A 27,165-nucleotide genomic window follows, 5' to 3' on the forward strand; every position below is an offset into this window, starting at 1 on the left:
GGAGAGAAAGTCTATCAACATACAATAGTATAATAAATATTCTGATCTTCCCTACCACTCACCCCATTCCTCCACAGCTTCATATAAGCCAGAATCCACACACTTTTGTTCAGATAGGCATTATTCTTTATATTCCTTTAAGTTGGAGCCTTTGAAGTTATAATACATGGATCATTTCATACTCATCAACCTGTTCAATTCAATAAGCATTCACAGAATATTAGACAGAGGAGAGGTACCATCAGGGCAGTGACTTTCAAATGCTTCAGACCATGACCCCCAGTAACAAATACACGTTTAACACTGCCACCCACCACCCCTTGAACATGCATACACGTAAGTGAAACAAGAGCATCATGAAATAACGCTTATTACTATGTGTGATACACTTGGATATTTCCTGTCCTCTTTCTTTCTCTTTCTTTTTTTTAAAATTTCCCATTCATAGGCTGAAACCTGCAGTTTAGGAAACCCTGCTGTACAGGATGCAAAGGACAGTGTGTTTTTTGGGAACTTAATAGGAGAATAAGCCATACCCATAAATACCTGCAATCCAAGGCTGACACTGCCCGCTTGAGGGGGCATGGGCACATCCTGTTGAAAGTAAGATATTCATGGTGGGGTGGCATTTGAAATGGGTCCTGGAGTAGAATTTCAGGAGGAAATGGAAAGGAGGAAAACCACGTGGTGGGAAGACTGTGAATAGAAACATGGAGGGAATAAAGTGTGGATCTTGTTTGGTGAAGGTAGGCTAACACAGGCAGGGAGGGATGCAGAGGCACTAGCAGTTTAGTCTCCCTAAGGATGCTGCCCAGTAGTGCCCGCTGATGCTTTTGCTTGTCTTCAAATCAACTGCCAGGGGACATGCGCAGGCCAGTGGGCGGCTTCCTCCAGGCCTTTTTAGACTTTACTTCATGGTGCCAGAAAATGCTACAGATCCCTGATCTTGACCTTCAGGTGCCTCTACCCTTTCCTCCAGCTGCAGTAAAGCAAACATTTTAAGGCCTATTCCTATCCTTTTGGTCAGTCCTTATGGGTCAAAACAGAGTACAAAGAAAGGGCAGAAGGAGAGTGCACCTGTCTGAGCCCCAGGTGTCCTGGAGCTGATTGGTAGACAGCAGCTCTGCAGAGCTGCGTGTACTCACACTGGCCGAAGGTCACCGTGTAGTTGACTGCGTGGCTCTCATTGGCCCTCAGCATGGGCCTGGAGGGGCCTCGGCAGGTACGAGGAGGCAAAGCCTTCTCAGAAGAGTGGCTTCCAGGGCTAGGGCTGTGGGCAGCAGTGGGGAAGGGGCTGCTCATCAGCCTGGAGGAGGCAGGGGGCCTCGATGGGAAGCAGTGGAGTGTTGCATCCGCTGTGGAGGAGCTCAGCCCTTGTGTGGGGCGTGTTTTGGAGAAAGCTGGGTGGAGAGACTGGTTAGTTCAGGGCGCCGAGAACTTGGGGACTCCAGCTGGGCTGGGGCCCCAGAGGATACCAGGGAGGAGGAACCCAGGGAGTGTGCACCTTAATGTGTGGATAGGTTTTTAACCAAATGTATCTTGATGACGTTGAAGATGAGTATTGTGTGTGGGGAAATGATTCCTTCCTGTGTTCCAGATTCTCTTTTGTGAAAATGTAGGAGGGTTTTAAAATGCTAAGAATCTATTTTGGGAGAATGTCCTTGTTAACCACAATGGGTCTAATCAATGACACTTGAGCAACTTGAACAAAGACCTTTGGCTTAATACAGATTAATAGGCAAATTAAGAAAAAAAACCTCTCAATATGGAATGCAAGATTTTGTGTGTAAGTGGAATTTTTAACCTGGAATAGATTTGCCTGTTTGATTTTTTTTTATTTTAATTTTTGGGAATAAAGCCTTGGTGGCAAAATCGAGGCCCCGTAAAAGACGATTTTAATATCATTTAATGGTAACATAATTTTTTTGTTGTTGTTTTATTTCAAAGTGAAATCCATAAAACTTATTTTCAATGTTGGCTGTTCCCTTTTGTCTTGGAATTTAATTGAGGTTTCTGAATTCAGCTGGCCCCAACCTTGCTTTCTGTTTGGCCCTGGGCAGCTCATGATTTTTCTCATTTCCTATTCTCAGTCTTGGTTTAATCACTTATAAAATGACAGCACTTAGACTGGCCTACCTCATAAGGTTGTGACGTTAAGTAATAAAAGTGTCAATTGCTCTGAATGCCAAATGTAGCTCTTCTATACCCTTTGCTTTCTTAAAAATGTCTCTTTTTCATAAACAAGGAAGAATACAGAAAGGCCGCATAAGGTCAGATTCAGCAGTCCATGCGGTGCAGCGTTCTGTCCCTGGCAACAGGACCCTGGGACGGTTTTGAGTAGAGAGGTTGGTAGCTTTTCTTAGTCGTGCATCATAGTCCAGCAGACAAATATGCTCTTACTTACGGTGGTACTACTCACATATGTAGATCTATTAACCATTACATAATCTTTTATGTTTCACTGAGAATGTATTGCATTACCAACCATTACATCGAATGACTTCATTTGGCACTGTGGGTCTCATTAAATTATGTCAGGCTAATCATAATTTAGTTTCACTGGAAACAAAATACACAGTGTTTATATCAGAGTAAGAGGACACCACCCAATCCAAGGAACTAAATGGGTTCAATCTAAGGAAACTACCACCCGGGATATGACAGGGGCCTTAAGTGTTTGAAGGCATTTAGCTGGGAAGTGGGAATAGAGTTGTTCTGGGTTGCTCAAGGGCACGAGTAAGATCAGTGGGTGTGAGAGCATTTAACAGTGATGTGATGTGGGCTGTCTCAAAGGGTAACAATTACCTGACTTTGTAGAAAGACATTCCTGGGTAGGCAGAGCGGCAGCAATAGGCTATCTCCGAGATTCCTTCCAGCTTCAAAATTCTATGATCATTCCCCTCACAGGGTAGCAGGAATCAAAGAGTGCAGAAGTCATTAATTGTATTCACTTGTGTATTTTTCCTCTGCAATTTCCCCACTCACCTGTGGAGAAAGGCATAGAGGGTACTTAAACTTCTTCACATAATTTCTTCCCAGGAGGCTCATTGTTAGCGGAGGTAAACAAAAATGACTGTAATTTGGAGACCACTTTAACATAGCAACTCCATTTAGAGAGTTATGTGCTTAACTTGATACTGGAAATAATTTTATTTTTCCTTTTATATGGGCAGGAAATTAGTTTCGAAAATCCCCTAGAGGACCATGATGTGAGTCTGTTGGTCTTAAATTTTTCTTCTCATATCTGTACTGTTTACCTGCGTTATGAAGTGACAGAACAGAATTTCAGCCAGTGTTCATTGACATGTTAATTAGTTACCTGGCAATTTAGATAGGAAGAGGCTTTACTGTAGTGGATCACCACCAGTTCTGGGAAATAATCTGTTTTTGTTTTAAAATTTCAAAATATATTTGTTTTCACGTAGAATGCTTGTAGAAGAAGAAAAGACCCAGGGTGTAGAAAATAGTTTTGAGAGCATAGGTCAGTATGCTTAGCTCTCACTCGGGGAATGCTTCTCAAACTTCCATGTGCATCCAAATAATCTAGAGGCCTTGTTAAAATACACATTCTAATCTAATAGAACCAGGAGTCCACATTTCTAACTGGCTCCCAAGTATTAGTTTTGGTCCACAGACCAAACTTTGACTTGTAAGGACTAAATGGACAAAAATTTCCTTTGAAAAGAAGCCCTTTCAAAATTTGCATTTCCTTCTCCCTGTTTTGGGGACACCTTTGTGTAATAACAGTCCAGTTCCATAAAGCTTGACGGTTGCGTTTAGATGCAGTATTTATTTTATTTTTGTGAGTCTTTCTAATACAATTCTGATGAGTGAGGGGGTGGTTAATTGTATTCTGGTGGAGATATGGTGGGAAGTAAACATAAAAACCTAAGTAAACACAATTTGTAATAAATAGGCTAATCACTTTTTATAGCCTCTCAGTTCTCATCATTCCTTCAAAGCCCGGGACCTTCTGTTGTATCGGGCTCGAATGCTGAGAGTAACTGGATAGTCTTACAGACACTTTTGGATTTGTGGAGAATCTCTCAGTAACCCCTGTGGATGCCCAGGATTCAGACCAAATGTCCCCATTCTCTCCTAGCCATTCTGTCTTTGGGAGGGCTGGGGTTGGGGGGATAGGAGTGTTGGGGGTGGGGTCAGCTATTTGCAGAATTATTGCACTACCCCGTGGCCATAGCTGCAAATTGCAACTTTCCTAGTGTCCTACGAGAAATCACAACTGAAGACTCTACGTGGAACCCATAGTAGGTTTCAGATACTTCAGTTGGGGACCTTGCATCCCCGCTCGGCCAACCTTCTTCTCTCCGCGCCATTACCGGAGTACCCTGAGTCCATTAGGTGGCCAAACCTAGCTGCGGTTTCCATGTGTAATTTCCAGTTCTATTTCATTAGAATGTTTGCATATAGGATGGATAATGCAAGGAAATATTGCACAATTGACTTTGCATGTTCTGTGATACTGACAGGAAGTTTATTGACTTTATCTTTCTAAGGAGGGTGTGTGCGTGCACATAAGCACATGAGTGCACATACACACATTTTCATTCTCTGAAGTAGGCGTTGAAGACTGCTACTGACAAGAGAAACCCAGACTGGATTTAAACAATGGGGGGTATTCCAGATTTGGAAAAGAAAGGTGAATTTTCACGAATAGTAGGGCAAATTTAAATCTTGCAGTCTTGAGACACGTGAACTGGTGGATGAAGTTCTTGCAACAGTGTTTAGCATTATTTGGGGCCATAGTTGGTATCTATACTCCTGGTAGCCGTGATACTGCCTTAATACGTCATAGTCCATTATATGATCTGACTAATTGTGTTTAACCATTTCTTGTAATATGCAACATTACTTTCCACTGTTCTAACTCTTCCTTCAGATTGTGGGGGAGGAGAGAGGAAAACAGTTGCCCTCAAGCCTGAAGGTAGGTCAGGCCCATAGTAAGATAAGCAAGTATTTGATTATTGCTTCAGTACTAGTGTCATCAAATTAATACAGTTTCTTTTACATTTAAGAAAATACAGTTTACTATCAATAAATAGTACAAATAACAGGTGATTCAGACAACCCGCCCCCCACCACACACCAAAAAAAAGACTGTCAGACTCAGAGGTTTACTCTGTTGGGTCCCAAGAAGCGACATTCAGGAGTTCCTTAAGAATAGAAAAAGCTACTGATGATGGTCAGGTAGGTTCTGACCTTTAGATGCATTGTCTGGGCTTTTGCCCTGGGACCCTGCCTTGGTTGAGAAGATAGGTTGCCCACATGGCCCACTTGCTTCTTGTCCCACCAATCATATTCCATGGCAGGGAGGCTTCTGGTGTCCTTTCTCAGAACTGCTGAGGTAGAAACTACAGTTGGAGGCCGAGGACTTTATCTCAGGCTGTGAAGTAGGTATCTTCACTGGCCATAGACTCTGTAGTTTACTAAAATAGAAGCTCAGAGCATCCTGGGAAGAAGCAGGTAGACTTTCCTTGCCAGGCCTTCTCAGTGTGCCGAAGATTCAAATGTTTACTTCCTTCCACTTTCTGAAACATCCTGCCAGGCCCCTCTTCTGTTAAGGAGTGCAGGGGTCCCCAGCCCCCGGGCTGTGGATCAATATTGGTCCGGGGCCTGTTAGGACCTGGGCTGCAGAGTGGGAGGTGAGTGGAGGGCGAGCAAGAGAAGCTTCATCTGTATTTACAGCTGCTCCCCATTGCTAACATTACTGCCTGATCTCCGCCTCCCGTCAGATTAGCACCGGCATTATATTCTCACAGAAGCATGAACCCTATTGTGAACCGAGCATGTGTGGGATCTAGGTTTCTCCTTATGAGAATCTAATGCCTGATGATCTGTAACTGTCTCCCATCACCCCCAGATGGGACTCTCTAGTTGCAGGAAAACAAACTCAGGGCTCCCACTGATTCTACATTATGGTGAGTTGTATAATTATTTTATTATAGATTACAATGTAATAATAGAAATAAAGTCTACAATAAATGTAATGCACTTGAACCATCCTGAAACCATCTCTCCACCCCTGGTCCATGGAAAAAAAGTCGTCTACAAAACTGGTCCCTGGTGCCAAAGAGGTTGAGGACCACTTCTGTTGTGGGAGTAGAAATGAAGATTCACCTTAAAGGAGGATACAGCTCTAGCAACCCTTTGAGCAAAATATATGAGCTGTCTGTCATCTCGAGGAAATAGATGGCAACATCAGAAATGGGAAGACCACACTACTCCAACTCACATCTATGTCTATGTGCAGTAGGCCCTCTGTTTTGATGGATAATCAGATGGTCTCACGTTTTTACCATGGTGTGCCACCTGTGGCCCTAGCTGTGTGACTGTCTAGGATGAAGTCTGGACTCAGGTTACAGTGATGTGGATAAAGTCCGTTCTGCCTGAGCACCAGTGATCATCACGTGCGGCGGCATACTGTAGAGCCCAGGACAGAGTTTGACTTGGAGCCTGCTAAATTTTTCGCAGAAGCATGTCTACGTGCAGGAGAGGACAGCTCAGCGGGTAACACCAGGACTCTCTTATTTGTGTTCCTTTCATTGAAGGTAGTTCCTTCCCCAGAACATGGCATAGCTGCTTTTGAGAACCAATCCTTGTAAGTGACTTCCTTTAATTTTTTTCAATAAGTAGAGTTTAATCTTTGAATATGAACGGAACACCTGAGAAAATTCTTTGGAGTCTGAAAGGAAGTAGGGTATGTTGGTTTCTAATAGTTAGGTAAATAATTAGTTACATAAATTGATTTCTTTTCCTTACTTTTATTCCTCAGCAGGACAAAAGTAATATTTTAGACAAGGCATGGTGGTACAGGCTGATCACACCTGTAATCCCAGCATTTTGGGAGGCCGAGGAAGGAGGATGACTTGAGCCTAGGAGTTTGAGACCAGCCTGGGCAACATAGGGAGACCCCATCTCTACAGAAATATTAGCTGGCCATCGTGGTGCATGCCTGTGGTTCCAGCTACTTGGGAGGCTGATGTGGGAGGATTGCTTGAGCCTGGAAGGTCAAGGCTGCAATGAGCCATGATTGCACCACTGCACTCCAGTCTGGATGGCAGAGAGAGACCTTGTCTCAGAAAGAAAAAAAAAGTAATGTTTTAGAGCCCTAAAATATATAATAATGTAACGCAATCCATCTACAGTATAGAGGGCTTGAAGCTGCTCTTTGTAACTTTCTTCCTCTGGATTTCTAGGTGTCTGGGTTGAGATGAGCATCCTTTTATTGAGCCAGACACAGAAGTGAAGAGACCACATTTCTAGCCCTTGATATGTTTATATTTTAGCCTGATAATAAGAACAGATTATTTCGTTAGTCTAAGTAGACTTTTTACCTGCCCCAAATCCTGTGGAGTATGTACGGGGGTACCCTACTCAGCATGGTATTTTAGGGATGATTTCCTAGAGAAAGTGACATCTGATTGCAGTCTTAAAGGAAGGATAAGAGTTAGCCAGGCTGGGAGCGGGGTAGGGATATGGCAGGTACGATAATGTAAGGAAAGGCAAAGAGGTGAAAATTAGCAAGTTGTGAACAGTAGCAGTGACCAGTGCAGGTCAGTTTCAGGTCCCTGGCATTCATGTTGGGAATGGCAGGATGGGAGGTTGGGCAGTGGAGCTGGGAGCAGCTCTCAGAGGGCCTTGCATGGCTTTCTAAGGAGCTCAAACATTTTCCAGTAGGTGATGGCCTGCATGAGGGCTTTAAGCAGGGCAGCAAAATGGTCACGTTTGCATTTTTTTATTATTTCTAGAAGGCACTATAGATGGATGAGTCTGGTGGCTGTGAGAGGCCATGTCTGAAGGTCAGGAGGTCAGTGAGGAGTGAGGGCTGACTAGCCTGGGCTGGTGAGGATGGAGAGGAGGAGAGGGAGTAGAGAGCTGTTGGGGGCATGACACAGACAGTATTCACTCATTTTCTGGGTAGAAGGGGATGAGGGTGCTTTGAGGCTATCTAGCTTGTGTGATGAGATAGGGAAAGTAGGAGGAAGAGCAAGCTGAGTGGGGAAAGAGGAACCCTTTGGATTTAAATGTATTGCATGTAAATGCCCTTGGACCATGGAGATAAAATTGTCTCTAGGAAGTTTACTAAAGATCCTGACATTTAGGGAAAAGGTCAGGATGGAAATAAGTGGGCGTTATCAGCATACAGGTGCTGGTGAAAGCCTTGAGATTGGACAAGATTGTCTAGGACGGAGGAGGAGAGAATGAGAAGTAGGCTGCAGGCACCACGGTGTAGTGGGAGGGAAAGCAGCCGGTGAAGAGGGTTGAAAAGGAAAGATCAGCCAGGGCGAGGCCATGAGCCAGTGGGGTCTGTGACCAGCTGCTTTTTGGAGTTGGCAGTGAGGGTGAAAGAATGGATGGGAGGTGGGAGGGCGGCTATGCGTGTTCCCACTCTTGAGGGGAAAGATGGGCAAACTGATGGAGGAAGGCCTCAGAGGAGATGTGGGCAGGCCAGGCCCAGAATCAGAGGAAGAACGCGAGGGTGGAATCTGTGTAGATACTTTGGGATAAACCTTGTGGGTAGGGGTGATATTTAACAAAATACCTATGAGAAATGGAAGTTTCACAGAATGGAACTACAAAGAAGAGGGTAATATGAAACATCAGATTGTAAAGGGAAACTAGTAGGTTCTTCCTAGTTATTTTTGAATATATGACTTAAAAGTCCGCATAAGCCCCTTTGGCATACATCTATGTCATACTATCTGTAATTTAAAGTAATTTTGATTGAGAAGTAATTTGGTGAAGGTACATAGCCAGGAAAAATTAGTGAGCTTGTCTAATTGTGGGCTGTTTTAAATGGATTTTTAAAAACTATTTTCAAATAGAAAAGACAGGAGTCCCACGATGTTGTCCTAACATTTGATGGCAGATTTTCCTTGGAAAGGCATCTAGGCCAGCTGGCCTCAGGGTATTGTGTTTCTTACACATAAGAAGTGTCCTGAGCCTTTCACAGGTATGTATTATCTCTTTTAATCTTCATTACCTGTAGGGTGGATTCTACTATTCCCCATTTTATAGAGAAGGAAACAAAGGCACAAGGTAACTTGCCCAAGGTCCCATAGTTAGTAAGGCAGAGCTGGGAATTTAATGCAGGTAGCCTGGCTCCAGAGCCCCTACACATCACCACTATCCTGTAATATGTATCTCTTAATGACAGAATCAGAGGGCATGAGTACTGAGGTCCCATGTGACCTTAAAATATATGTGATATAGGCTGGGCGTGGTGGCTCACGCCTGTAATCCCAGCACTTTGGGAGGCCGAGGTGGGTGGATCACCTGAGGTCAGGAGTTCCAGACCAGCCTGGCCAATGTGGTGAAACCCTGCCTACTAAAAATACAAAATTTAAAAATACAAAAATTAGCTAGGCGTGGTGGTGGACACCTGTAATCCCAGCTCATCGGGATGCTGAGGCAGGAGAATCACTTGAACCTGGGAGGCAGAGGTTGCAGTGAGCCTAGATTGCGCCATTGCATTCCAGCCTGGGTGTCACCGCGAGACTCCTTCTCAAAAACAAACATATATATATATATAATATATATTATATATATTATATATAAAATATATATAATATATATATGTATGTAAATGGTCTCCAGCAGGTACAGTGAGGTATATATGGAAAAACATCTTGAGATTTATTCTGAACTTTCAAACTCAGAATGAATAGTATATTGTGTTCAAGCTATTACAGGTTTTAGACTAGTGGAATTCTAATTAAACAGGCTTCACTGTGCATGGATTGTCTGTAGTTCACTGTCATTAAGTCCTGCTCTTTTTGTTAGTATTTAAAATGTTAAAAATACACTGCCTATATATTTTCTTGCAATTAGTTGTATACTCCATAAAACCTCTAATTTGACAAATTTTATGGATGAAGACTATGGTAACAACTGTTTGCCACATCTGGTCAAATCTACCATAACACCTAAATGTAACTTCATTAATAACAATAATGATGGTACAGCAATACAATTTATAAAACCACTTCGTGAAAGTCATCTGAAATTGTAAGGTGATTTTTTTTTTCATGTAGATCATTTTGCTGTTTCTTCTTAGAAATGGAACTACACATGGTGTACAAATGGTCTGTACAAAGTCAGACCATCTCTTCTAGTTGTATGACTCTAATTCTAGAAAGAAGCATTGCTTCAGTGACCTGGAAAGAGTAAACAGGCTTAATTTATATCACAAGATAGTTGGGTAAAGTAAAAATGATAGATTCTTAGCTTAAGGGATTGGGACATATTAAAACAGATGACAAAAATAACTTTAAATGTTTTTTTAAAAAATCTTAGAGAATAAGACGTTAAATAACGTTAGTTATTTTTGAATATTTTAAGTTAGGTTAAAAAAAATCCACTTGGCTGGCAAAATTCCAGAAAGGCACGAATTAATGTTGGGAAGGGCAAAGGGTTCAGAGCCATCCAGCAATGGGTTCAGATTCTGACATGCCATTTACTAGCTGTGCCATCTTTAGTAACTCAGCATCTCTGAGCTTCAGGTTCCTTATATATAAATGAGATAATACTGTCACTGATTTGTTATGGGGATTAAATTAGATAATGTTCTTTTATACTATCAAAGATCTGTGCCTTACTGTGTGGTTTTCTTTTTACTGGAATTTATTATCTCGTGAATTTTTATGGCAAAAAAGGGGGACTGATGAAGAAAGTCAGTGAAATGTTTCCATCCAAAGGGCTAAAGTTTTCATGTGATAGGTTTAAAATATTAGGGAAATTGTCTTTGAAAGTGTTTGCCTTCACCATGTAGAGAGTAAGGTATACTTATATGTCTTGATTCTTTAATTAATAATTCGACTTTGCTTGCCACTTAAAAATTAGAATCAAATTCTGAATGGAGAGTAAAGCCCACATATATATTGGAAGGGAACCAGGCAATAAACTATCTGATTTACAGAAAACAAAGTGTTTCATGAATGCTTTCCTTAACCCAAGCTTTACTTGTAACTTGAGCCAGGTTTTAATTTTTGAAAAAATTTAAATGGCAAAAATATGTGAACCTACAAATAAATAGGGAGTGATAATCGACTGTTGAGGCCAGTGAGTGAACATGTATTTGATGTGGCCCTGAGATAGAGGCTGTGAAAGGAGTTTCTTGGAACTTATCAGGAGCCCCCAGAGCATAGGTTCACACTTTATACCTCGTGACTTTTAGAGCAGGCAGGGTCTGTATTCAGGCCTGCAGAAAAATAAGTGTAACACTTTTTTGAACTGTATAAAAACAATGCTTCTTTCTATTTGTGTTTGGTTTATATTACCTAAGAAGCATGTTCTGTATTATTAGGGTAGATACCACTTCTGTGTTTATTCTAATGAAAATGAAGAAGGAAACAGTCCCCACCAATATTGTGAAGTACTTAATGGTTTTTAAAATCTCTACGAGACTGGCCAAAGTAAAAATATAAATGAAATAAATGGAAATGTAGCCGTTACTTTCCAGTTTATGTGAGTATCACGATGCAATATTTGGAACTGATTGCAACTGCTGTAAAGTACTTTGAGGAAACCCATTAGAAGAGAATTAAAACTTGAACAGATTAGCTGATCTCTAATGGCCCTAGGAGAAGATCTTGTATTGCTTCAAAATCTTTTCTGATTCTCATCACTCAACCTTCTTGGCTATGTAAACAAAGGAAGCTTTCCTTTTGTTTTCCAGACGTTTGGAAAACAAAATTTTCCAGAGCTGTGCATCTGCCAGGAAATGTTTCTTTTAACCTGATATCATAGATAGTTTTAAAAGCTAAAGTAAACTCTGGATTTTAGATTTCTATATCCCAGGTTGAGAGTAATAAAACTAAAAGAGGAAGCTTTTTAGGTGCTAGTGATTATTTAGTGATGGTAACAGGGATCACTGATATTTTTACTTTCTTTTTTGTATGTTGATTTTGTATCCTGTGACCTCGCTGAGTGTATTCATGAGTTCTAATAGTTGTGTGTGTATTTCTTAGGATTTTATATATATACACATGATTATGTCATCTGTGAATAGAGATAGTTTTGCTTTTTCCTTTCCAATCTGGTTGCTTTTAATTTTTTTTTCTTGCCCGATTGGCCTGGCTAGGACCTCCAGGAGAATGTTAAATAGTAGTGGAGTGAGTAGACATCTTTGGTTTGTTTCTCATCTTGAAAGGAAAGCTTTGTCATTCACTGTTGAGTATGATATTATCTGTTGGTTTTTCATAGATGCCCTTTATCAGGTTAAGGAAGTTTCCTTCTGTTCCTAGTTTGTTGAGTGTTTTTAAGCACAAAAGGATGTGTGATTTTTGTCAAAGGCTTTTCTACATGTATTGAGATGGTCATATGGGTTTTAATCTATTAATACTTTAATATACTTTAATAGACTTTAATCTATTAATATACTTTTATATACTTTAATACATTGACTGATTTTTATATGTTGAACCAACCTTGCATTCCTGGACTATGTCACTTGGTTATGGTATATAATCCTTTTATATATCACTGGATTTGTTTTGCTAGTATTTTGTTGAATGACTTCCTTTTTCAGAAACAGTTGCCTATTTTCTTCTTTGATAATGAAAGTTCATGAACACTTGAGATAAAAATAAAGGAATATGACTTTCTCAGGACATGCCCATGGAAACATGAAAGCATTGTTTCTGCATATTCTCTGAATGATAGTCCTGTAAGTAAGAATAATCAAATCTCAAAAGAGATTTGAGTACTTGAGTACTCAAGTTCAGAAACTTTTATGTAATGATTTTCTGAAGAATTTTAACTTGACACCTGCTTAAGAAATTCTCACATAATGTAATTTCTTATATGACACATTTAGATTTTAGGTCCTGATCTTGTGCAAGTCATTCAATTTTTTTAGCTTAGTCCTCTAATGAGTAAACAGGATTATAAGGAAGAAATAAAATATGCAGTGAATATGCTCATAAGATGTTACATGATGGGAAGATATAATTATTTATATAAGTATGTAAGTATAATTATTTAGCACAGGGGTCAAAAATTCAAATACCTTCAGGGCCAAGTAGACCAAATAAATGTCTGAAACAGTATCACAGTTGGATGTGATGGGGCTTGTGGTCCATTTGAAGCTCTACTACCTTGCTTCAATACATTCAGATGAAAAGCAAAACAAGCAAAATACAGTAAACAACACACACCCACACCTGTACTTTCTTGGCCAGACATCATACATCTGCCTCTATAGAATCCCTCATTCAGGGGGTCACTGATGAAGTGTAAGGCCCTAGGGTTGAGCTTCAGCTCCACTGTGGGGTAGGTTTTTACCTTCTCCAAAGCTTCATTTTTTCATTTGTAAAATGCAGATAATGTGTGTCTTGCCTAACTCTAAGGGCTGTTGTAAGAGGTTTAAATGGCATAACAGATAGAAATGATTCAAGCTATTAAGTCCTTTATAAATGTGTGGAATGTTGTTTCTCCGTATAAATCTTAGCTTTTCTATTATCTCAACAAAGGTGATTTTCTTGTTAAGAAGGTTTAGTAGCCAGGCATTGGACAACTCCAGAAGACCAGCTAGAAACATCTTTTTTCAATAGTAGAATAACCTTGGTAATAGTTTCAAGCCCATTTAATATACTTCCTGGACTTGAATTGTTACCTGGATCACCCCACTGTCATTCCAGCAAAAAGATCCATGATACGTTCTTCTCACCATTAGGTTCTCTTAGATATGGGAATTCTTTTTTTCTTTTCTCTCTCTCTCTTTTTTGAGATGGAGTCTCACTCTGTCGCCAGGCTGGAGTTTAGTGGTGTGATCTTGGCTCACTGCAACCTCTGCCTCCCAGGTTCAAGTGATTCTCCTGCCTCAGCCTCCCAAGTAGCTGGGATTACAGGCTTGTGCCACCACACCCAGCTAATTTTTGTATATTTAGTAGAGACTGGGTTTCACCTTGTTGGCCAGGATGGTCTCAGTCTCCTGACCTTGTGATCTGCCCACCTCGGCCTCCCAAAGTGCTGGGATTACAGGCATGAGCCATGGCGCCCTGCCAGATATGGGAATTGTTATGACACTATGGCAGTATGCATCATAATTCTTACAAACCAGATACATTATCTCTGAGGGCTTTCTGTGGTTTCCTTAACATATAAACAGAAAGTCAGAACTTGTTGTATTTTGGTATACTAGAATTTGAAAGAGTTTGATTTCTACAGTTTTCTGACCACAGTAAATCCAGTGTTGACATCTTGATGCCTTTGTGGGAGGTTCCTTTGGAGCAAGATGTAACTCAGTGTCTGCACAAGATCTGCCAAGTAGCCCTGCCACAGCAGTGCCAGGCTCAGCTTACTAGTTACCCTCAGTCAGCGGGCACAGTCATAGAAACCCACGAGTCACAAGTTTATTGAGCTCCTTCTATGCATAACACACCATGCTGGCTTGGGGACAGTGAAAAAGTAATGTGGCCCCTGCTCTGAAGAAGCATGGAGTCTGTGTGGAGAGAAACCAGTATCTGTGAAATAGCTATAGAGTCTGGGCTCTTAGACTGTTAGATCTGTCTGGAAGGAACCTTAGAGATCATCTTTCCAGCCCACCTCCCTCAATGTACAGCAGAGAAAGTGATGCCTATAACTAAATGCTTATTTCTATGGTGTAGTCCAGGGCTTATCAAATTTAGCTGCTTCCCAGAATCAGCTGGGGATCCAGAGTGCCTGGGGTAGGGACCCAGGTATTTATTTTGGAGTTCATAAGTCCTATAGTTTGCTTATTGGATTTGGGAATGGTAACAGGCTGAGAGTGGTTTTGGAATCTAGGATTTTGGGAGCTCAGTGAAAGACCAAGAAAGAGCCTCAGGGAGGAAATGATGTTGCATAAAGGGGGGAGGTAAGATTGAGGGAGACTGGAGCCTTTGGGGACAGGGGTGCAGTTAGGTGAGCATATGGAATTGGGAACTGGTGTGGCCGAGGTGATGAGGAAGATGTTTTACGTCACGTGACTCTCTTGGACAGCAAGGGGCTGTAGGAGATTTTGTACATTTGCTTTGAAAAAGAGCTGTGAGTATATTTCTGCTAAAGACATTTTGATAGTCAATTTGACTTTTTTTTTTTTAGTTTTAAGAAAGTATGTAATTGCATCACAATTAATTCTTCAATTCCAAATTGATTATATTCGACAAAGCGTGATATTTTTCTTTAGTTTATCATCAAATCATAGTTAGTCTGTTCACTGCCATCTCAAAATAGTTGAGACAGAAACTGATAATTTCATATACTCAGTTTCCGAATTTCTTGGTAATAAAGTAATTTATATGCAATATGCTAATATATTTGGATAAAGAGGTGTACTATGGACAACCAATGAAAACACTTAACATCTATAAGCTATTCTTTTTGAAAATAATTTTATTCTCAAAGTGAATTCTCTTTATGGAACTTTTGATATTATAAAGATACACGAAATTGGACAATCTATATAAATCCTTCATAATAAATTTTATTTCTCCAATGTGTATAATAAGACATCAAACAGAATTCCCCTTTTATGGAAAAACTATTTTATACCTATGCATATTTTATGGTTGTGTTCATTTTCTTTTTCTAAGAAATTTAACTCTATGATTTAACTTATTTTTAAACGATGCATAATACGTGCACATTTTTATAGGGTACGTATAATATAATATTTTGTTACATGCATACGACGTGTAATGATCAAGTCTGGTTGTGTTCATTTCACTGTCGAACTGTCAAACACAAGCAGTGCTTTTTGGTACTGTTACATTTTTCCTCGTTGTGTGGGTTGGTTGAAGGCAGGAACCGTAATGATTAAGAACACAGACTGTGAACCAGATAGTCTGAGTTCTGATCCCCTGCTCTGCCACCAGCTAGCTGTGGATAGCTCTATTTTGTCTATTGTGAATAGTGGAAAAGAAAGAATAATACCTACCTCAAAGGATTAATGTGAGGATTAAATGAGCTAATATGCGTAAAGTGTTTAGTACAGTTAAGTGCACAATGTGTTTAGCTATGATTACTTTTTAAGTTGTTATTAATTGTACCTGGCATATGACCTGACACATAGCATGTGGTCGCTGAGTGTTTATTGACTAAATGAGGGACTGTACCGATTACTGTAAAGTTTTGTTAAATAGAATACTTTTTTTTCTAAGCTATTTCCATCCTGTATATGCCCAAAGGCATCAACAATTTGTAGTAGAATAGTTTAATCAATGAGAGAGAATATTTGGTCAGAAAGATTGGTGTGGTCACGTGGAATAGCTAATGGCACTGTGGGCAAGGGAGCGTTTTTGATGAAGTCATAGAACTTTGTGGCTTTCACTGGGAATCTCGAGCCTGAGCCAGAACCCATACCGTCTGATTCCAGGCTGAGACAAGGGCAGCACTTTGTTCAGTGGCTGGTCCCTGGAGCTGGCTCACTCCGTACTCCCTTCTCTCCCTCTCTGCCTCTCCTTCCACCACCCCCTCCATTCTTCCTCCCTTAGCCTTGTAAAGCTGAGGATCCTTAACCTGGAGGTCAGGGAATCCCTCTCATCGTCTCTGCATTTCTGTTCCTTTCTTTCATTTTTGTCTTTCCTGAGAAGAGAGCCTACAGCTTTCTTCAGACTCCCAAAGGCAGCCGTGACCCCGCTTCCGTGAGGGTGGAAGTGGCTCTGGCAGCAGCCGTTTTCCATTATGAGCAGACGCTGAGGTGGAGCTCAGAGAACTGTAAGAACTCTATTCCTTTGTGAGTGTTTCTAGCAGCAGAGGAAACGGTGGGCACGAAGAGGGTAGCTTGGCAAAGCCGTTGTGCCAAGCAGAAGTGCGGTGATTGTGAAGACACTGTGGAGTCCCTTCTTGACTGCCTGGACCAGCAGGGGCTTGCGGTGACCTGGCCAGGTCATAAGCACAATGCAGGCCATGGTTTGGAAGGTACTCCAGGAAAACCTCAGTGCCTGTAGGGCGTTCTCTTGTCTGTCATTTCCTCATGGCACAGTGGAGTCAGGTAGCTTAGATTTGCCTGAACTGCAAACCGGCTGATTGACATAGACTTTCTCGTAGCAAGGCACAACTGCTAAATGAAAAATACCATTGTTCTTAGCTTAAAATAAAATTAAGGGGGCAATGTTGTATGTAAATACTTAGGAATTCAAATGCATTATTTTAAGAGCCGTTTTATTTCATTTTATTTTATTTTATCCTTTTTTTGAGACGGAGTTTTGCTCTTGTTGCCCAGGCTGGAGTGCAGTGGCACAATCTGGCACGATCTTGGCTCACCACAACCTCCGCCTCCCGGGTTCAAGTGATTCTCCTGCCTTAGCCTCCTGAGTAGCTGGAATTACAGGGATGCATCACCATGCCCAGCTAATTTTGTATTTTTAGTAGAGATGGGGTTTTTCCATGTTGGTCAGGCTGGTCTTGAACTCCCAACCACAGGTGATCTGCCTGCCTTGGCCTCCCAAAGTTCTAGGAATACAGGCATGAGCCACCAAGCCCAGCCAAGAGCCATTTTATAAGAATGCATATCACACTATGTCCCAAGGGCTTTTCAAGTATTAATTGGAATTTGAGTTGTCTAGGTCACTACTCCATGACAAAATCATGACTAAATAGCTTCACATATCCCTTTTATAGCTGTAGTGTAAGTCCTTGATTTTTTCCCCTCCATTATGCAATATTCAAATTTATCACACAACAGCTTTAACGTAACTGTTGGCAGTGCACTTTTTGTTGCTGAGGCAGGATGAAGGACTTTTTAATATAGTCTGGCTAGACACCAAGAGTACAGAAGTGATCCATTTTCCCCTGGCAGCTAGGTGGAAGACAGTCCATGTTGGGACATTTACTTAAGCATGGCCAGACAGGAGGGCTTTATCAGGATAACATTCTTTTGCCAAGTATGTGTGATAAAGCCAGAGTTAGACTTTGGGAATTTGGACCTTGTCTATATTTAGCATCCAGAAACCACTATGGGGCTGTCATTGGTTAGGTGTTTCCAGTCCCAGTTCTTGCTGCAGTTAGATAGTTTGTTCTGAAGTTTGTCCATTCATTCATTCGTTTGTTCGTATTTCAACATATCTCACTTTTTCCTGACATTGTTTACTTATAGGACGTTTTTAGAACTATCTGAATTATTTTTGATGAGAAAATCTCATAATGAGAATTAAAATTAAGAAAAACTAGAAATGCTTATGTAATTTGGCAGATCCTCTTAAAAAGCTTTTCAAGAAACCAGATATTAAAAAAAATCCCTAAATCAAGGGAAGAACTATCAATACAAATTTTTCTTTAAAGGAATTTAAAAAACACACAAGAGCTTTCTGTGAGATTACATCTCAGTTTTATCCCTAAGAGACATAATTCCTCTACAGAGGCTGCCTACTGAGAACTGTTGATCAACCAGAGGCCAAATGTGAGTTTACTTCTGACCATGCCACTCACTTGAATCTGATTTTTTTATTTTCATGTCTATAAAGTGAGGATGGGGACACTATCCTGTCTAACGCATGGGGTTGTGTGAGAATTAAGTGAATTTTCACAGCTAACCTATGACAGTACCTTATACTCAACCCTCAATAAATCAGAAGAGTTTTCCCCCAATGGTTCTGTGTGTCAGAAAGTGTGACAGGTGAATCAGAGTTAATTATAGAGGCCCTGTGATCCTAATCCACAGTCTCCCTATTCTTTTGTCTGTGAATATAGAACATGGGTGGGTCAGAGGCCAAATGGTTCCTAAGCCAGATGATGAGGGGGTGCAGGTCAGGGGACGTTCAGGAAGGCCAGATGCAGGGTGGAGGCTCAACAGAAGGTCTTCTGTTGGAGGAAGTGCCTGGGTGAGCAGGTGGTCACTGACATGGTGGCGATTTTCTCGCTTGCCCAGCTCTGCTTGGGTTGGCTGCCCAGAGGCATCCTCTTCTGTCTCCAGATCTGAGTGAAGGAGAGAGAGGTGCTTTTAGAAAGAATTGACTTGTAGTTTGGAAACTCCTTCCTGGTTAGAGAAAATGGGCCTCTGTATCAAGACTTTTTCTTTTTTAAAATATTTGTATAAATGTATGGAGTACAAGTGTAATTTTGTAACTTGCTTAGATTGCATAGTGGTGAAGTCAGGGATTTTAGGGTTTCCGTCACCTGAGTGACAGACATTGTACCCAGTGAGTAATTCCTAACCCTTGTCGTCCTACTTCCTGAGGACAGTGACCTGATTCCACTTGTGGACTGTGGGCTTGGCTTACCTTGTGGATGGCTCCAGCCCCCAGCAGAAAACTTAGAAGCATCAGATCTTAGTGTTGCTGTGGCTTTCTGCCTGTGGTTCAGGCTGCATTGCTGGTTTCCGAACCTTGCTTTTCCTTGACCTCTGTGTGTATCCCAGATCTCTACTGTGATCTGACTTTGTAGCCTCTTCCTTGATCCTGATTGCCAGCTACTGGGTACAACTTAGTCTGCTCCCAGCCCAATAAAGACCCCACCTCTGGTTCCAACCTTTTCCTGGCTGTCATCCTAGGTTTCCACCTTCTTGAGAGCCATCTTTTTTAGAGAAGTGCAGAGTTCACTATCCAGGTCCTTTGGCAGCATCCTGGCCGGGGGTGGGGGCAACATACAGATCATTTCCCTCAAGTAAAACATTGAGGCACACTGGTTAGTGCTTGGTTCATGCCTGTGTTTTTTCTTTTTCTGGAGTCTTGCCTTAATATATATATATATATTTTTTTTTTTTTTGCTAATACACAGACTGTCCTTCACGGCTGCGCCTATGCGTCACTGAAATTCAGTGTACAGATTATGCCACGCGGTAATTTTGGAAATTCAAACTGAAATGGAGCCGGCTATTCCGTATCTTGATCGGAATGGATGCATATAAGAATCAAAGTAACAGGGCAATAATACAAGTTAATTGATTTCCTACATGTCAGTAAACAACAATTGAAATCTGATTTGAAATGAAAGAAAAATCATTTACAATAGCACCCCCAAAATTGAGTCCTTGTATAAACCTAACAAAATATGTACAAATGTGCATTCAGAAAACTTTGAAACACAGTTGGAAAAAAAATTAGACAAAAGCTAAATAAATAATTCCTCCAAACTTGATCTATAGACCCAGTGCAATTCCAATCAAAATCCCAGCAAAGACACCAATAAAATGTTTCTAAACCTAAAATAGACAATATAAGACTGAGGAGGAACAAAGATGAAGAATTCACACATCCAGATTCCAAGACTTATAAATCTCTGAAGAGAGTGTAACATTGGGGAAGAAATGGTCACACAGACAAATGGAACAATACAGAGAGCCCCTAAATAGACCAACATAAATATAGCCAACTGATTCTGTCAAAGAGCAAAGCTGCTCAGTGGAGAAAAGAGTCTTTTCCATAAATGGTGATGAAACAGCCAGATTACCTTGTGGGATAAAACGAATGTACAAACAAACTTTACAACGTACACAAAAATACATACAAAATTATTCATAGACTTATAATTTAAAGTAGAAAACTGTAAAAATTCTAGGATAGAACATAGAAGAAAATCTACCTGACCTTGCATTTGGTGATGAGGTTTTATACACAGCACCAAAAGCCAATCCAGGAAAGGAAAACATGATAATGTAGACCTTATTAAAACTGAAAATGTCTACTCCATAAAAGACCCCATTAGGAGAATGAAAAGGCAAGGCACATACTGGGAGAAAATATTTGGAAAACATCTACTAAAAAAGGACTGTTATTCAAAGTATACCAAGAAAGTAAAACTCAACCAGAAGGAAACAAACCATCCAAGTAAAAATGGGTGATGATCTGAACAGACACCTCACCAAGAATATATAAAGATGGCAAATAAGCATTACCAAAAGCAGCTCAATAGCATATGTCATCAGGGGATTGCAAGTTACAACAACAGTGAGGTAGCTGTGTGGCTGTGAGGGTGTTTCTGGAAGAGATGAGCACTGAATGGGTAGACTGAGGATGGGCCATGCTCACCAGTGTGAGTGAGTGCCATCCGATGCACTGGGGGCCCAAATAGAACAATGCAGTCTCTCTCTCCTTGAGTTGCAGCTTTCGTCTTCTGTCCTTCCTGGTTCTCAAGCCTTTGGACTCTGAGACTGCACCAGTGGCTCCCCACTTGACTATCAGGTCTTCAGGCTTGTGTGTTATACCACTGGTGTTCCTGGTTCTCCAGCTTGCAGGCAGTATACTGTGGGACTTCTTGGCCTCTATAATCATGGGAGTCAATTCCCATAATAAATCTCTCTCTTTTTTTTTTTTTTTCTGAGACAGGGTCTGGCTCTGTTGCCCAGGCTGTTGTGCAGCAGCGCCATCTCGGCTCATTGTAGCCTTGACTTCCTGGGCTTAAGCAATCTTCCCACCTCACCTCCCCGAGGGGCTAGGACCACAAGTGTGCACCACCACGCTGGCTAATTTTTTGTAGAGACGCTGTTTCACCATGTTGTCCAGGCTGGTCTCGAACTCCTGAGCGATCCACCCATCTCTGCCTCTCAAAGCGTTGGGATTACAGGCGTGGGCCACTGCACTGGGCACAAATATCTCTCTCTATATAGAGATATGTGTGTATATATATGTAAATATATATAAGTATATAAATATAAAATTCCTATTGGTTCTCTTAGAACAACTCAAATATAAAAAAATGACAATAGCAATTGCTATGGAGGATTAGGAACAACAGGAGCTTATCACTGCGGGTGGAAGGCATAATGGTACAGCCACTGGCAGTGCCAATGGTAGTTTTGTCTCAAAGCTAAACATAGTTTCACCATATGGTCTAAGAAAGCAGCTGTGCTCCTGGGTCATCAACTGCTTTGAAAACTTATGTCCAAACAAAAAAACATGCAGTTATGTACAGCACCCTCTATTCAGATATTTAAGTTTCCAGACACTTTAAATCAGGATGTCCTTCAATAGGTGAATAAAAAACAAGCTGAAGCACATTCACACAATGGAATACTACTCATCGATGAAAAGGAATGAGCTGTCAAGTCGCTCAAAGGCAGGAGTGAGCCTTCAATGTATATGACCAAGTGAGAGTGGTGGAGAGAAGAGGCTGCACTATTCTATTTAGATGCCCTTCTGGAAAGGTGAAGGTAGAGACACAAGGAGATCTGGGCTTGCTAGTGGTTTGTGAGGAGGCTGTTGAATAGGGGAATGGGGAATGGCAGGAGGTCCCTGGGGCCAGGGGGCCATGGGCTTCCTCTGGCTGTCAGCCATGGGGAGCATTTGCGGAGAAGCTTAGCTGGCTTACCAGCGTGAGCGCGGCTACTTTTCCCTAGGAAGGGATCCCATCGCAAGTGGATCTCTTTGGGGGCATTCTGGGGAGGATATTTTACCCACACTTTGTGATTTCTCAGGACCACGTGGAGACCCATCCTTGGGCGCAGGCCCAGCTCTTCGTTTTAGCCAGGTGAAGACGCACAGATGGGAACAACTTCATTCTCTGGGACTCAGTTTTTCCTCTGCAGTGAAATCAAGCTCCAGTATTTCATTCTCTGTTTTAAATTCAATTCCTTTTATCTTGTCCTTCCATTCAATGGGTCTTAAGAAATGTTTTCTAGAACCTCAAGGGGTGGACGGGACACTTTCTTTAGGGAAAGGTTTTGTCACGTACATGGCATGTTCCTTGGTCCCTGCAGAGGCTCAGGCCTCAGGGCAGCTGCCTCGCTAGGCTTCAGGACCTCGCAGGTGTCCAGGGGGCCACAGGGGTCTGCATGCGAGGGCAGGGGCAGCAGGTGGGTGCATCACAATGGGGCGTTGGTGACAGTGATGTCCTGCGGGTCCCCCACCTGCCACCTCCGTTCAGGGAGGTTTCCTTGGGCCCACCCCAGCCGGAGAGACCTTGCCCGAAGTCACCCTCTTCCATGCTATGTGCCCTGTAGCTGCAGTTTACTGGTGAGCTTGGTAGGGCACAGAGAGGATGGCACTACCAGCTGGAGGGGGACAGGCCCCAACCATGAGCCCAGGATGCAGAGAGCGGCAGGGATCACCGGAGCCCCCCCGGCTCTGGTGTCTTGGCTCTTCCTGCACACGGTCTCCACATGACGCCCAGCAAGCCGGATCTCAATTTGTTCACCCATCCTTTATTTTCTGTATTTATGACTAGTATTTCTCCAGTTTGTCTTTTGTTGGCCTTAGTGACAGTGAGTTTTCCTGTTGAGTTTCTATTCTGTTGGATCTTTATTTTAGCAGCGGATAGGCAAATTTTGGGTGATGTTTATTAATGCAAAATGGAAGGTGATGATATGTCACACACATCCTTCTGCTTCCTGCAGCAGTTTCGCTGTGTGCTGTGTCAAAACAAAAACAACAACATCAAAAAGGAAACAAAAAACCAGTAAAGAGTGATGGGGAGGACACTTCTTGGAATAATTCCCTTGGATGCCCGTTGCGGGTTAAGTCAGAGATGAACTGACTTGGGAAAGGAGCTGAGGAAGAAATCCAAGAATTCAAGAAAGGAGGTGCTGGAACTCAGGCTGTATTTCCGCAGGTGCATGGAATCTCGCCTGTTTCACTCTGGTAAATTACTCATACTAGCTCCTACTACCATGAGGAAACACAGTCTTCAGAAGTTGACAATTAGCAAATTAGAGAATTGCAAAGCCTGTTTTACCCTGAGAACCTGAACCCTTTCTTATTCCTGAAGGGCTTTCCATCAAGGAGTCTGTGTGGTGGGCAAGAGACTGGATCAATTGAAAATAACAGAAATTGTCACAGTGTTCTTCTAGCAACTGTCACTCACCATAACTATCCCACCCGAGGCTTAACCAGAACCCTCCCTTCCAAGAGCTGAAGTCGCCCTGAGAAAGAATGAACCCGATACCTGTCCACCCCCACAGGGGCCATCAGGTTGCCATGGAGCTGGGCTGTCTGAGTCTTGGTCCAGCCTGTTCCTGGCCCTCATCTGGGGCCCTAATGTATGTCTTAAACGCTACCTCTCTCACCATCTAAATATGAAGAGGAAGAAAAGAGAAGCTGATTCCTGGGGCTAAGGCATTTTAGTGTGGAAGCCAAGTAAAGGCCTCAGAGTCACTCTTGTCTTCTGTCTTTGCTGTTTCACTCCAGTCTCAAAAGCAATCCTGGTCTTAGGTCTTAGAATCACAGACTGCCGAATGACAGCACCTGCCCTCAGTTCATTTTGCCGCACTTCTTACTTTGACGGTGCCATTTGTGGGATTCCTGTTTGCCCATCTTCCTTTCGTGCCGAGGAGGCAAGTGCATCCCTTCACCAGGCCACCACTGCAGGTGTGTGTGTCAGACTGAGGAACAGCAGGGAGAGGAGAACAGCATATGGTAGGCAGCCCAGGGGAAGCATGCTGGGCCCTTAACCCAGAAGGAGGGTCTCAGTGTGTCCAGTTGCTCATTTCCTTGAAAGAAAACCCAGATGTCCTCTGAGGTGAACCTAGTGATAGTTTTCCCTTGTAGTTTTAAATGTGCTCATTCAAATTAGAATGCTTAGCCATCCGTCCCATATTCCGGCATTTTTCCTTTAATCTATGTTTGCAGGGTTGTGAGTTGTGCTGAATAGTATGAAATGTGTTATTAGTGGACGCACCACTGTTGACCTCAGAGCATGTGACTAGACAGTGCAGGAGGAGATGTTGTCATGTTACTTTGGATATAAAACGTCCCTAGGTGACCTTGTGGGCCTGATCCACGGTGAAAGGTGGGGAGAGGGTACTGGAGCAGGGCAGAGGGACTGGATGAGCCTGCATGGGGAGGAAGGCGTGACTGAGGGAAGACAGCTCAGCCCCCCAGGGGAAACCTGAGTTCAGTGTTGGGGAATGTGAGGACACAATGGCGGGGCAGGATGGCCCTGGCACCAGCGGTGCTGGGGACCGTAGGGGGCCATGCTTTGTGAGAGGCAAACTTGGCTCCAAGGATGTGAGGCTGGGAGCATGGAGGTGAAAAGGCCGAGAGACAGAGGGGAGCTGAGGCAGGCAGGGCAGAGACGGGGGGCCCAGCAGGGCCTGGGGCAAGAAATTAAGGATGGGGCAGGGTACCTCCAGCAACTTAGTCACACTGAGGGGATGGGAGGGGTAGCAAGGGACTGGGTGGGGACAAAGTGACAAGATGGGGAGTAGGGAAGTGGGCACTAGTTTGTGTGTTAATAGGTCAGCAAGTCTTTTAGAGTCCTGGGAAGTAAAATAAAAATTAAAACAACAAAAACAAGCCGGACAGGGCAGCACATTCCTGTAGTCTCAGCCACTAGGTAGGCTGAGGTGGGAGGATCACTTGAGCCCAGGAGGTTGTGTCTGAGCCTCCCAGCTACTCGGGAGGCTGAGGCAGGAGAATCGCTTGAACTCAGGAGGCGGAGGTTGCAGTGAGTCAAGATTGTGCCATTGCACCCCAGCCTAGGCAATAAGGTGAGACTCCATCTCAAAAAAAGATAATAATAATAAGGGGAAAACTCAGAGATGGAATTACATGCACCAGGTGTAGTGTGAGCAAAGGATTAACTTCCTGATACATTCTTGTTTCCCATATATATAGCTATCAAGGTCATCTTTTAGTAATGAGTTAAGTTCTTTCTTTTCCAACTCAAAATTTGTCTGCATCTTTACCCAAATATCCAGATCTGATACTCTAGGCTTGGGCTAATATAGTGGGGTGGAGGAGGCTTGGGTTAAGGTTTAAAGTTCCAAGGGCTGAACCGGAATAAATGGTGTATTTATCAAGGGAAGAGCAAGGCAAAACCAGCAAGTCCAAACCATGGAGGCCTCAACCGAGGTGAGGGGAAAAGTTAGGGAGCCTTAGGAAAGCTCTGAGGAGGGACCCCAATTAGGGGGACCGTAGTTAGGGTATGAGGTTTGTGAGATCAGGACTGGAATTGCTGCAAGAGACCCTATGATTGGGTGGCAGCAGCATGTTGTGGAGATGAGCCTGCTTCCTCAGCCTCTTCCTCTTGTCAGAACCCTTTGCCTCTCCCTACACACGCACACACACATGCATGCACCATGCTACAGAAACCTTTCTCAGTCTTGCCATTCTCTCAAATTATGCGTTGGTCTTCCCTTCATCTTCAGATTCTTTAAAGAGTAATCAAAGTTCCCACTTCTAGCATGATGAAGTGAGGAGGTCAACAAATCTTTCCAAAATGTAACTGTATAGCTGGACAAACCATTTAGCATTCTGCAATTTTACCAAAGGCACGGCACAAATGGGGATGTGTTTAAGAATGAAAGCTGGCCAGGCGCGGTGGCTCACGCCTGTAACCCCAGCACTTTGGGAGGCTGAAGCAGAAGGACCACTTGAGCTCAGGAGTTCAAAAACAGCCTGGGCAACTTGGTGAGACCCCCGTCTGTACAAAAAAAAAATCAAAAAAGGCATGGTGGTGCACACTTGTGGTCCCAGCTACATGGGAGGCTAAGGCGGGAGAATCATTTGAGCCCAGGAGATTGAGGCTGCAGTGAGCTGTGATCACACCACTGCACTCCAACCTGGGCAACAGAGTGAGACAGACCCTGTCCCTAAAGAAAAAAAAGAAGAATTAAAGTGAGCCTTGGATAAGACCAGCCTGTGTCCGTGGCATCTTTGCCCAGGCTGCTACCCCCATTTACCCCAGCTGTTGATAACACACACAGCGGCCCCCAGCAGGGCAGCCTGTGGAGATAAGCTCCCCTGCCACCTCGCTGCAGGGGCTGGAGGCAAGAGTGAGGAAGGTTTTGATTTGCAGCATGGCTAGTTAAGGTGGTGATATCAGTGACCAGGAGGAAGAAAGGCCACTGACTCCTAGCCTGAGGCTCTGGGCCTTTGGAGACGAGCAAACGACCTGCAGATTAGTCATGGATGTAAGAGGGAGCTCCGGGAGGTCGGAGAGCCAGAGGGAGCTTAGTAAACTCTTCACACTACCCAAATGGACTGAAGGCTCATAGCTGGCAGAGATTAGAGCAAGCCCAAGCCATGTCCATATGCCCAGGGCACACAGCCTGTGTGTGTGCCGGTGCCAGTGTTAGGAAGTAAAAGCCGGAACACCCTTGCAAATGGCCCGGGGCGTGCCTCCTCCCCATTGCACATAGATCCAGCAGCAGATGGTGGAAACCATATTGGCTTTAACTGATGTTTGACTGACGAACTATGCAAACAAGAAGCGACCTCTAGGGAGTCAGTCTGAAAAATTAAAGCAAACAAATGCCAACAATAAAACTTAGCAATGACCTGAGTGAGTGCACACTGTGGAGGAGACAGGCTT

General features: G+C 42.8%; 2 protein-coding genes across 4 annotated transcripts in view, besides 2 other annotated features; both read left to right on the top strand.

The window, feature by feature from the left end:
• The window catches only part of RANBP2 (RAN binding protein 2), a 1,122,820-nt gene that overhangs the window by 1,045,483 nt on the left and 50,172 nt on the right, over positions 1-27,165 (top strand). The gene's annotated exons all lie outside the window — the stretch shown is intronic.
• The window catches only part of RGPD5 (RANBP2 like and GRIP domain containing 5), a 97,088-nt gene that overhangs the window by 4,347 nt on the left and 65,576 nt on the right, over positions 1-27,165 (top strand). The window lies entirely within an intron of this gene.
• Positions 24,316-24,817: an enhancer, noted in NCBI's record as "H3K4me1 hESC enhancer chr2:110546857-110547358 (GRCh37/hg19 assembly coordinates)". NCBI's record gives its function as "activates a minimal SCP1, AML or CMV promoter by ChIP-STARR-seq in primed H9 embryonic stem cells {active_cell/tissue: H9 hESC(primed)}" and the evidence as "EXISTENCE:reporter gene assay evidence [ECO:0000049][PMID:30033119]".
• Positions 26,616-27,115: an enhancer, noted in NCBI's record as "H3K4me1 hESC enhancer chr2:110549157-110549656 (GRCh37/hg19 assembly coordinates)". NCBI's record gives its function as "activates a minimal SCP1, AML or CMV promoter by ChIP-STARR-seq in naive H9 embryonic stem cells {active_cell/tissue: H9 hESC(naive)}" and the evidence as "EXISTENCE:reporter gene assay evidence [ECO:0000049][PMID:30033119]".

This window comes from Homo sapiens, chromosome 2 (genome assembly GCF_000001405.40).
Source record: "Homo sapiens chromosome 2, GRCh38.p14 Primary Assembly".
Taxonomy (NCBI): Eukaryota; Metazoa; Chordata; class Mammalia; order Primates; family Hominidae; genus Homo; species Homo sapiens.